This window comes from Homo sapiens, chromosome 12 (assembly GCF_000001405.40).
Source record: "Homo sapiens chromosome 12, GRCh38.p14 Primary Assembly".
NCBI lineage: Eukaryota > Metazoa > Chordata > Mammalia > Primates > Hominidae > Homo > Homo sapiens.
Window position 1 is genome coordinate 20,370,273 of NC_000012.12, and position 12,723 is coordinate 20,382,995.

The following is a 12,723-nucleotide window of genomic DNA, read 5'->3' on the forward strand; positions in this document are numbered from 1 at the left end:
CTTGGAAACTTGAAACACTTGGCAACCGGCGCAGAGTGGAGAGAATCCGAGCGCTGGGAACTAAAGGGAAGATAGCCTAGAAAACTGGTCTAACTTCAGAATTAAGAAACTAGCAGGTTTTTTTTTTGTTTTTTTTGTTTTTTTTTTTTTGTTTTTTTGCCCTCTCTTTCACACAGTAGTTTTATAACCTGAACGACTGAAACACAATTAACAAAACTAGATGGCATGTGTAGGGTCTTCCACAGCTGGGCCAACTTTTTAGATCTGCTACACCTGGTGTATGGCTTGCCTACTCTTTTCAGTACTCTTACGCTTTCCTTCCTTAGCAGAAATTTTAGAATTAAGTTTAGATTTTAGCAATGAGTGATTTTTTTAACACATAGATTTTACTAGATTTCTACTTTTTAAAAAGTAAAATCTTTTTAATGAAATGATATTAAACATTTATGAAAACCAGTAAAAAGATTCTAGAGCAAAGCAAGCTGTGCTTGAAGGTGAGGAATTGATACACATTTTCTGGTTTTGCAGTAAGTTTTATTTGGAGAGACTGCAGCTGATGGTGCCCAATTTGTTTTTAAATATAATTTAGGGGCATACATTATTACATGCTAGTGTGTTTTGTATCACAAACTTCAACTTGGGGAATAATATGTCTGAACTTTGGAATTGTTCAAAATTGTCAACTGCGTTTTAGTGTCAACTAAAAACAAAACAGTTCTCTTTAGTATGTGCATACTTAAGTGGATATTTATAAATTCAAATGGATTTATGCAGATTTTACAGGAAATACTAATTCGGGAGGCCATTTCTAAGATTGCTGGAGATGTATATCTTCCCACAACGTGGGAGGAGGAGGAACCTGGGATTATAAAGTTGTAAATAAAACTTTAGTCACTTTTGGGGATGAGTCTCCTTATTATCATTAAGTGATTTAAAACTATAGAACAGTTGCTATAAAGGGCATAAAGGAACAAATCCCAATTTTAAATGCATACGGTGTCTAAAAAAGCATACCGAAGGGTATGCCTCCCTAGTTGAAGCAGATTTGTTCACCTCTCTATTTGAAGTGGATTTGACACTTGATGGGGAGGAGGAGCTGGTTGGATACAGCAAGTGGAAATTTACATTTTTCCCTTTAAATTAATGCCTACCTGTGGTACTATTAGGACAACTTTAGGGAGCAAGAGAATATCCTAAGATAAAGTAAGCTTTTTCTTTTTAGGTTATTCTGTGGATAATCATTTGGGTATTTCTAAGAAATAGCAGTCACCATATGGTGTGGGTGGCTAGTTGGTTTCTGAAATGGAGTTGATTACACAGATCTATGGCTGTTTGACATTATTGAGCAGAGTAGATGACAGCATCATAGTCTGTTTATTTTAAAGCAAATGTAGTTATTTGCTTTTTGTTTCGATAAAACAAATGTTTCTTGTCTTTAAGCTTACTCTAAGAGTGGAGGGGAAAACAGGCCACTGACTGATAGTTTTGGTAAAAATTTGGAAATTGTTAAAATGGAGTAAGTTATCTATTTGAGGGTAAACTAACCATTTTAATTTCTTTTCACAGTTATGGGAGAGAATGTCTTAAATGAAAACACCACCGCTTTAAGTATGTTCAGAATACACTATTCATTAACTTATAGGGAAATAGGATGTTACTATTGCAAAATTCACAACCATAATTTCTAAGGAAAATCTGGGATTTAATCACAACTTGATTCCAAATTGATATCATTTACCCTGTGGAATTATTTTTTAAAATTTTATATTAACATTTATAAGTTAAGAAATTAAGGGTGGATAGAAGATAAGAAGGTGGTTAGGTAAATTAACCAGCAGCATTCATTTAACCCACACATTTTTATTGGGTTTCTCTGGTTTAAATTGATAAATGGAGAATTTGAATTATCTACGAAGTTATCAAAATAAGCATTGCATATTTAATGTTTTGCTGATTAATGCTGTTGGAAAATGCATAATCGCAATCTATTTCTGTAATTTTCTTTGGTCACTATTTTTTTTAAAGACTGTGTTAATGAAGATTATTCTAAAGTGGGAAACTTTGTCTTATGCTTGATGGAAACACAAGAATACATTTAGCAGAAATTGAGATACTTGAAGTTTTAATGAGGGCATGGGTGAGTGTGTGCGTGTCACTGAAGACTGGTTTTTATATATGACCCATTAAAAGTTGTTGCTGAGCATAATTGTGGGGAGTGGGTGGAAACTAACACAGTGTACTATCTTATAAGATAGGACAGTATCTCATATACGTTAGCCTTACTGTGTGAAAAGTTCAGGAGCTACCCACAGTAAATGGCTTATCTGTTTTATCATAAGGAAACAAACTTCTGATTAAGGGTGCAAAGTGTACCACTGTCATTTGCATACTTTGTGAAGTCAAACATCAAAATAATTATAAAATAAGTATATAACACTCCCCTGAATGTCATCTGCTTTTTTTCTGAAGGAATGTCTACTTTCAACTCAAGACAATACTCATAGGCAACAAGTGAATTTTAAATAGTCATTTAAGAACTTAAACGCACAGTCTGTCAGAGTCCTCTTGAGAATTTATTTGCACTTTGCTCATTGTGAGGCTTACCAGTGAGAGAATTTCATCATTTTCTTCTCTGTATGAATGGCAGTGGCTGGTTACTGATGAACTATCCCTCTTCAGTGACCCTCAGTTCCAAAAGTGCAAAGAGAATATATGATAAAAATTCTCATAAGAGAAACCAATTGACAGATACATTTTTCTCTCTCCCTCCCTTTTTTTCTTTCAAGAACTGTAAGTCTGTAGCACTGGTGTCTGTGAATGCAAGTGGAAATATCTTTATTCTCAGGAAAAAACAAAGTTTATAGTTCTTTAAAGTTTAAAGAACTATAAAGTTTGTTTAGCTTTTAGTTTAGTCCTGACAACCCAGTGTCCGCAATACTGAGGCTGATTTTGTAGATGAGTGTGTCAAACTACTTTTTTGGCTGCCAGTGTTAAGAAGGCAAGTGTCTGTTAAGGTGTGTGTATCTTTTCTAAGTGGACTTTCGCATCCCAGAGCAGATATGTCTCTCTCAAAGTACCACTGTGCCCTCGGCCCGAAACATGGGAATATACAGAGGTACCTAGACTTTCTTGGAGTATTAGATATTATGCATGATTAATATGTTATTTTTCAATGTAAAATTTTAATTTTGCAATTTTTTTGTTATTGCAAATTGTATTTGAAGGGGTGTCTCTCCATTCTCTTTATAAATAAAGAACTATAATTGGCTGCTCATTCTTCTCTAATTACTGAGACCACCTTACACATTCACTTTTGAAAGATTTCAAACCAATGCAATTTTATTTTAGTTACCTGTTAAGGAAAATTTTATATTTTTACCTGTGGTTTCAGGTAAATACAAAGGCATATGACTGTCTCCGTTAATGCATTTGTACCACTTAATGACAACATTTTTTTGGGATGGATACAACATCATCCATTTTGATCTTAGTTGTCGAAAGAAGAGTCAAGTTTTTCACCACTGATGTGAGAAAGACACTTTTAGGAGAGAAAGCAAACAACAGCAAAGCAAAAATAGGAGAAATGGGTATGGTGTTTGATGGTAGGCACTGGATGGGAGGCATTGTTATTCTTTGACAAAAAACTTGCTTATTTCTTCTCAAAATGTAGAATACATTGTTTAAATTCCTAAATGCCTGTCAATGTAACATATTGTTCAAATTGAGTAAGTTTCAGAAATAATCACGGACTTTTAATTAAATTGTAGCTTCTACATTTCAGTAGTGTTACTCAGTTTATGGTGATTCAAAGAGCAATATTGATTACTTATGACTTGGTGACAGAATTAAAATTAATTAATGTCAATTTCTGAAAATACTGAAAAGGGAAAACAAGATTTCCTTATCCCTTGGGAAAGGTGAAGGAAAAGAATTTTTTGTGTGTCGGGGGGACAAAAATTGTAATTTTACTTTGTGAATACAGATATTTAAAGCATACTGAAAAAGTTTTTTAAGTGACATAAATAGTCAGTGAATCTATATAAATTTACAGAGGCTGGAAGGAGTGAAAACAGTAATTTTACTCTTTCTGTATTGAGTCGAAAGTGTAAAAAGTTAAAACTGTAGAACTGAAAGAAATGCTGTGTATGCTGGGCTGTCATGTTAATTAAATAAACAACCAGAACAGTGACTCTGTGTATGAAATACATTTTGAAAAGCCTTGGGGGAGGGGGTGCAGGCAGGCAAGGGTGAGTGACACTGGCATGAAAAAACATTCATTCTATCTGCAGTGACATTTGTGTGAATTTGTTGTAGTCTATTAGAAAATTCAGATCTGAGAAATAATCTCTTCAGAGCGCTAGTTGAATAAAGGCTTTACCAAATTGAATTTTACTTCTATTTTAAGCAAGTTCTCATTCTGTCAAGGTAGGATGTTTATAAACCTCAAAATTAGAAGTATGCCTATATATTTTAAGATTTTTCCATTAATATGGTTTGTGTCAGTCAGCCCAGTAGAGTCAATGTTGACTTCATTGAAAACGTGTGTTATTTTATCTATCAAAAGAAAGAGTTTATTTTGGGATTAGGATAGGAGTTGTGTTTTTGAGAAAGAGTTATTGTTGTGAGTTATACTGTCCTGGATGTGTGAAGATAATCAATGCAACTATTGTATCATGCCTTTGCATTGGGCGATGGGGAAATGTCTTATGCTCCCGGAAGTGATGCATAACCCTACAGGTTTATGGTGAATTGTTTACTTAGCTGCCATATGTCTCCTCTTCAGTGGAGTCTTCCTGCTCCATTTCTGTGTGGTGTTTATATCTTCTTAAAAAAACCCTCAAATTGAGATTAAAAAATATTATGCTTATATTCTGCATTCATGTGTTTAATGAACCTCTGTGAAATAATTCTGAAGACCCTCAGAAAGTCCAGTCTCCTATTCTTGCACCTAAAGATGTGTTCCATTAATGTTCAAATGAAGATAATTCCTTTATATAGAAACTTGAATCCTTTTGGTAATTACCTATATATACTTTCATGATAGGTAGTATTTTTTATTAAAGGAGATTTTTTGTTGTTGTTTGTTTTTTTAGTAAGGCTACTATGGAATTGTTTTAACTTTGAACTGAGAATGTATGTTTGTGCTGTTATTGATATAAAATATACAGATTTGATCACTGAGAAAAAAGTCTAACAGATGTGCCTGAGTTGTAGTTTAGAGGAAGATGTGTTGTATGACAATCGTAAAAAATATTAGTTGACCATACCTGTTCATTGTGAATGTATACCACTGTTTTAAAAGAAGATGCTACCCATAGCTAATGTTACCCATTATCCATAAAGGCCTTTGATCAATCAACCTACCAGGTCTCAAATCAACACATTTTATCTGTGCATTAGTCCTTGTGCTAAAAATCAAAAATAATATACAGATAGATGTGACACAGCATTTGTCTCTGCAAAGTTTAGAGCCTAGTGAGATTAATGAGAAGTGAACATAAGAAAAAGGGAAGTCACAGTGAAATATCTTAGATAATGGAGAAATGCATATAATAACTTGGAGCAGGTTTTTAACCTGGCTCCAGGACTCATTCATCTCCTCTCTGAAATTGTATGCAGAACTTCATTTGTTCATTCTTAGGAGCAAAAAGTCTTAGTGTCATAGGTTTTCAGAAGGTCCTCAACACATAGATGGTTAAACATAAATGGCTTAGATTTTAAGCAACTTTACATTTTGAAGACATGGAGAATGTTTTTGAAAATGGAAATTACTTTGGTGTACCTTTACAGTCTGCTCTGAAACAAAGGTAAAATAATATTTCATTTAGGACATGTTACACTTCAAAATAGTACACTGATTGATTGTATTTATGTCGAGTTAGTTTATGACTGTAAATAGCTGGTTGCACTGATATTTTAAATGCTTAATTCTGAAAAGGCTGTAGTTAGTAGACTACAATTAGTCTGATTTTAGAGAGAAGGAAACTGAGAGTTAGCTATATGTGTGAAGATAGCCCAAGGCAAGATGGCTTTTGTCCATTTCCTCTTTGACTTGACTGTGCTACTGAGGAAACAGTAGGAAAGGAGTCAGGCTGCTAACTTTAACCCTGGGTATCATTTGTAATTTTTCCCATGGAGCCAACTCTAAATTCTCATTCAGCATTAGAAGACTGAATAATCAGATTGAGTGTCAGATGTGTAAATAACACAAAACTTGTTAATACCAGGTAGCCTCTGGAATGAATTATTCTTGACTTTGTCACGTAAATGAATATCAGTTGCACTGAAAAGTCTAACTTTGTGGAGTCTTATCAAACAAAAGTATTTAGCAGTGGCTTAAATATTGAATATTTTTATTTTAGATTTTCAATATGTTTATTTTTGTATGTTCAGGATTTCCAAATTCAAGGCAAAGCATAATCTGCAGATTGTTAAGGCATTTCTTCATTAGCAAAAACAGCTGGTAATTTTTTTCACCTGTTATTTTGCAGTGTTTCCTTAGAATTTCATTAAAATATAAGTAAATAGGGTATAATATCAGAGGAGGTCATGAAGAACATTACCATTTCGAAGATGGAAAGCTATTTGAGAGAAGTCACAAACTAAGCAATGTCTGTGTTTTTGATTTGATTAGAGCTGTCATTTGTTATTTAGGAATCTGTGAATGATTATTAAAGCTTTCAAGTATAGCCAGTCCTGCTAACATAATAATAATATTACATTAAGGGCACTCATGTTCTTTCCTCCTGAGAAGATGACTGGTTACAGGGGGCACATATTGTTTGCTGAAGTGTGTGTATGTGCATGTGCATGTGTGTACCTGTATGTGCATTTATGATTTGTGTGTGTGCATGTGTGATTTTCCCCTGGCAGAAAATTGCTTTGGTTGTATCAATTTAGTGAAGAAACAGTGTCACCCAGTGGCTTTGATGAAAACAGTCCTATAAACATTATAGATAAGCACTGTCCAGTAGAAATACAACACAAGCCATACATTTGATTTTACATTTTCTAGAGGCCATACACACCCAAGAAACAGATGAAATGAATTATAATAATATGCTTTATTTAACCCAGCATAGCATGTCAACATGTAATCGGTGTAAAAAAAATGAAATATTTTGCATTCTGTTTTTTTGTGAGTCTAAATATCTTGTGTGTGTTTTACACTTAAAGCACATTTCAGTTTGGCCTAGCCCCATTTCAAGTATTAAATAGACACAGGTGGCTAATGGCTACCATATTGGACAGTGCAGCTCTATATTTTTAAAGATTTGTAATATTTGAGATACTAATGTCACCTCTTCAGTTATAATGAAAAGTCTTTGTAGATTTAATAACAATATACAGTCTTTAAAATTATATGTGTAATCTTGATAGCTCATTTTTGTACCACTCTAATAGTTGCCAAGTCTATTTGCCCTTTTTTCTTCATTTCTCATTATTGCATTTATTTTAAAATATGATTATTTTCATCGGAGGGGGAGATTTAGCAGAGTTCCTTAATAAAAGACCTTTATATTAACCTGATTTATAACACAGTATCAATATTTCCAGTTAATTATGAATTTGCCTTTAGGAGTTTGGTATGTAACAGGGATTGCTTATGGATACACTGTAAACACAACACATGTTCATGATGATTAGTCTATAATTGGGTTATCTAATGTCTCTTTAGAAATGAAAGTGCTTATGTTTGTAGGTCATTATCTTTGTAACTTAGGAAACTAAAAGTCACAAGCCTGCTCCTAGCTTTAATGGATGAAAATTGTAACAGTGTCTGTAAAGGGCTAACTTTTCACTACTGTTTATATAAATACCACTTTCATGGAAACACAATGAAAATGGTTCATTCTGTGTATAGAGCAGATTGGAGATTTTGATAGTGTGGAATTTTTAAAGTAGGAATTTAGATTAGGTGAGTTTTGGAGCCATTTTCTGAGTTCACTCCGGTTTGCAATTTCAAACTGATTTCAGATGAAAAAGTCTGGAAATGTTTAATGTCATGTCCTCTCCATCACCTTTCCTTATACTCTATGAATTCGTTAACAATAGCCGTAATTCCAATTCTACATCAAGAAATAAAGAGAAAATTATATATGGCATTTTACTTTATATATAGATATATAGATTAACTTTTAAAAATACATTTATTATGTGTATAACGTTTATATCTGTGTGTGATGCTTTTAGTGATTGGGACAGGGTATATTACTTATTTTTACACTGCAGATTAATATAGACAGATTTTATATCATAGATACATAGATTTTCACTTACTAGAAATTCTAAAAAGATCAAAAGGCAATAGAATCATGGTATACAAAGAAGCACATTTGGACAAAATGAAATAATGTGGATGCTGGCTCGCTTCTGGTAAAAGCTGACTTAATTTAGAGTTCTTGAAGAAGCTAGCTGAAGAATGAAATGTCATTGTAACACACATCTGTTTCTTGAAAGAGTTTATACTTGAATGTAACTAGTCACTGTTAGCTCTGGCTAATTTTGAAGTTGATTTAAATTAATATAGAGGTTGTTCTGGTACTTTTTTTTTTGGTCAGTCTTTTTCTGTTCTCCATCTCTATCTACATGCACATTTTCTTTCATTTCATTTTCTTTTTACCTAATAGAGTCTTCTCCCTCCGAATGTGTTTAAAATTTTAAGGAATGCCATTCTGTCTCTCCCAGTACCTTGTTAGAATATTGAAATAATTTTATGCAAGAATCTTGTGGTTTTGGTTTAATAGGATTTTAGTAAAAATTTTCCATCTTGTGAAGTAAGTTTAAATAACTGAATATTTATGCTATGTCTGTGGCAAGTGTTTCCTCCTCTCCAGGTATAAACCACTTAAAGAGACCTAATGGAAGTTTGAAGTCATAGAGATATTATTCAGTGGGTAATGTTTAATTCTGTGGCAACAGTTATACAGCTATGTGGAATCAGCATCCTTAGCCCATTTTTAAGCTAGCATGAACACAAATAAATGAAATAGTTTTTATTTTTATCGTATTTTAGAGATCCACTTCAGAAATGCTCTTTAGTGAGCAGTGTTTGTCCTCGTGATATGAAACATCCCCTTGTTTGGGAGTTATTATTTCAGGGTCCAGCCTCAGCAGCAGTCTCTCAGGAAGTTTGGAAGGGAGAGAGCCTGCTGAACTGCTTATGCTGTATTGAGAATTTGCTTTCTAGTCTCAGGAACTAAGGAAGTCAGATTCAGATTAAGACAATTTTTATTATAAAAGGAATCAAATTTTTGTAGCTTCCTTTTCTCAGCCATAAGCATTTCATTTAGAAAATTCTGGCCCAGTGTCTTGCTTATTGTAAGTGCTGGCTGGATGGTAGGAAAAATGGATGAAAAAGAAATAAAAGACTTTTAACCTGAAATATTTATCTCCCCATTCTCCTGAGGTTGAGGTAGTGACTAAGTTGATTTAAGGAAATTTCTATGGGAAGAAGAGAAGAAATAAGACTATCAACAAAGCTATACATTTTCAGTTTTAGTATGGTGTTTACATTTTTGTTACTTAAATATTTTCTTGCATATGTTACATAAGGGGTTGCATTTGCCTGTGCCCTTACTGGTAGGAAATCCCATGTTCAGCATGAGTCCTAGATAATTATTTTTAGCTCACTCTCAACTGAAAATAACCAAAGCTACCACCAAGATCATTGTAGTGTAAACCTTTGAAAAATTTCTGAAATTTGGGTTCATATTTTAGAAAAATAAAATGTCAAGTGTTTTTCACATTCAACTAATAAATTGAGAGAGAACAAACTCTGACTTTATTTTCTTCCATTCCATCCCACAGGGCTCTGACAGGTGCTCTTCAGCTATCACCTTTTTTATACTCTAGTAGTCTGCATTCTTGTTAGAGGTTCTTACTGAATAGCTGTATTTTCTGAAAAGTCTAATGTAAAGCAAATGTTATCTCCTTAGCTTTTAATTGTGATCAATTACAAAACAAAGTTTGAGATGGTTGCTTCCAGAGATGACATTGTGAAATTGACTTTTTAAAAATGTCATCCAACTGCCGTGCTAGTTCCATCATGTGGAATGATCTAGAAATTTGGTAGCATAATTGCAGAATCAAGTTGAACTGAAAAATCAGAAGCTTATAGGGTTTTATTGCAGTGATAAATTTAGCTTTTCAGTCATTTTTCTTTGGTCCACCTACTTTTTAATAGAACTTGACTTGTGAAAATCAAAAAATTTAAGTCAAATAAGAATGTTTTGTTGTTGCAGTTTTAATACTTAGAGAAGATACAGTATTGTTATATCCTCTCACTGAAATCAGAGACATATCTTTTGAGTATGTTAGGCAGATGATCATGACATTAGATGAACTAGGAATACAATATTTAGGAAAAAAGTGATTTCGAACCTTATGGTGTCAAGTTTCTTTTTATCTGTACATGTCAAGTGTTCTCACAGGCAGACTTTTTAGAGAGATTGCTATCACTGACAACTTCCAGAGTTTGAGAGTTTTTTGAATATACTACTTAAAAAAATCTCCATATGGTTTTCATTTGAAAAAACATATTACAAACTGAGACATTCACTATAAATTAAATTGAAATAATCAAAATATAATTAAGCTATTTGTGAGTTTACATTTTGCAAAACATTTTAGAAGCAAAATCATTTAACTTTGTTTGCATTTTGAGACAAGGAGCTAACTGTGTGTATCATCTTGAGTAGTGTCTGTTTTTATTCCTAGGGATTGTTTTCCCTATAATTGGAGTTGTTTTTTGCTAGGTAAGTAGGATCCAAATAACAGCATAGTTATTAAGGCAGTAGCCTCGTTTTGTCCACTTCTCGTCATTCCTTTTTACTTAAATAACAATTAGATTTGCTCATCTTAACCCCTTTACAGAGCTACAGCTAGAGCTTTTAAGTGTTTTTGGTGGAACTTCCTTAAGCAATTAACTAGTCCTAATAAAAAGTGTGAGAATTAGATTGGGAATGTTGGATACATATATAACTAAACACCGATTAAGTAAGTTATCTAAAAAATAAAGTGGCATTCAGATATGAAAACCACCATAAAAATGAGTGCCAAAAACTAATGGTAGTATTTTTGCTTGTGCACAAAGAAGACTAGATCAAAATCAAATGAATAATTCCTCAGTTTTCAAAAAATATTTTATGGTCTTTTGAGGGCATAATATTAGTGCATGTAAAAACTAGAACGCTTTATGATTTGAAAAGAGGAGAAGATGCTGAGAGAGACACTCTTGGAAGCTGGGCAGGAAATCCAGCCATGCATTGCCTCAAGGTCTGTCATTAGATCAAAAGCACTCAGGGGACGATGGTCTGTGTAAGAGGTCCTAATGCTATTCACGAACTCTCCTGACATTCATTAGTTTCCAAGACATTGATTCTTATTCTTTAACTTTTTAGCACATTTATCATTTTCACTTATACATGTATGCTAATAGCAATCTTATGTGAACTTTTACCTCTTATATGACCAGAATTGATTAAAAATGTCGGCAAGTAAGTTTGTTATTTAATATCTCTGAACTTTCTCTATTTTACATTGAATATTTGCTACATTGTAAGCATTACAGTATGACTAGATTCTTCTTTTTTTCTAACTTCTCCCCTGTTGATAATTATTCTTATATAACTATAATGCCATGTTAATCAAACTATTGTTTATGAATTATAACAGTAAATGCCCCTGGTTAATAGATTAATCAACCTGCCTTAGATGCTTTTGAAGTCTGTGAGGACATTGCTTAATTTCACCTACATATAATTACATATCATTTGACACTCTCTAAATCGAGCTGTTTATTGTAGTTCTCAAAATTTAGTGTGAATAAAAATTATTTGGGAAAACTATTAAAATGCAGACGTTTAAATACTAGATTATAGATCCTGTAACCTTCCAGATACTCTGATTTAGTTAAGTGTAGAGTGGGATCCTGAAATCTGTGGTTTTAAGGAACACCTCAGTTGCTTCTGTTGAGAATCACAGGACTATAAACTTGTGTCTACTGAAACTGTACAGGAAGTTCTGACTTTTGCAATCCAATTCAACAAACAGTTTAAAAGTGCTTGGCTCAGACAAGAAGGGTCAGTATCATGGGGAAAAACTATACACACGCACTATAGTTTATGAACCTATGACATTCATAAATGTTTCACTTTGATTTCATTTCTTTGAAGTTCAAAAAAACTTCATTGATGATACCTCAAAGAAGTTTTCTTAACCACCCTGGATATCAATTTCCTCATCTGTAAAATAGGAATAGGAATATCAGCTTCACTACCTATCTCATATGGCTGTTTTAAAGGCTAAATCAAAATAAATTGCTATACAAATGTTAAATAGAAAGAATATATGCACTCTCTAGACTGTCACAGACCAAAGCTTGTAATATATACCAGTTTCTTAAACTTTCAAAACTTTAGTGACCCTGTCTGTACCATAAGAATAATATAACTGATTTCTTAACGTTGCAAAGGTTAAATTAATGTAATAATGGACAGAGGTTCTTGTTAAACACTGTGCCCAGCTGAACATGAATAATACATATTCTTGCCCATTAGGGCCAGGTCATTGAAGGTTATAATCTAAATTTCAGAAAGCACTATGTAAAACAATGCAAACAAATTTGCATTTGATTACAAAAACTCACAAGTCTTACAAAATATGAAAATTTAATGGAAGTTAATTAAAACAGTATTAGGGAGTTAAATTGTAAGCAAAGCC

General features: G+C 33.1%; 1 protein-coding gene across 3 annotated transcripts in view, besides 1 other annotated feature; it reads left to right on the forward strand.

The window, feature by feature from the left end:
• PDE3A (phosphodiesterase 3A) overlaps positions 1 to 12,723 on the forward strand; it is a 320,047-nt gene that overhangs the window by 1,736 nt on the left and 305,588 nt on the right. The window lies entirely within an intron of this gene.
• Positions 4,523 to 4,817: a silencer, noted in NCBI's record as "tiled region #6259; HepG2 Repressive non-DNase unmatched - State 24:Quies". NCBI's record gives its function as "represses a minimal TATA promoter and a strong SV40 promoter by Sharpr-MPRA in HepG2 cells {active_cell/tissue: HepG2}" and the evidence as "EXISTENCE:reporter gene assay evidence [ECO:0000049][PMID:27701403]".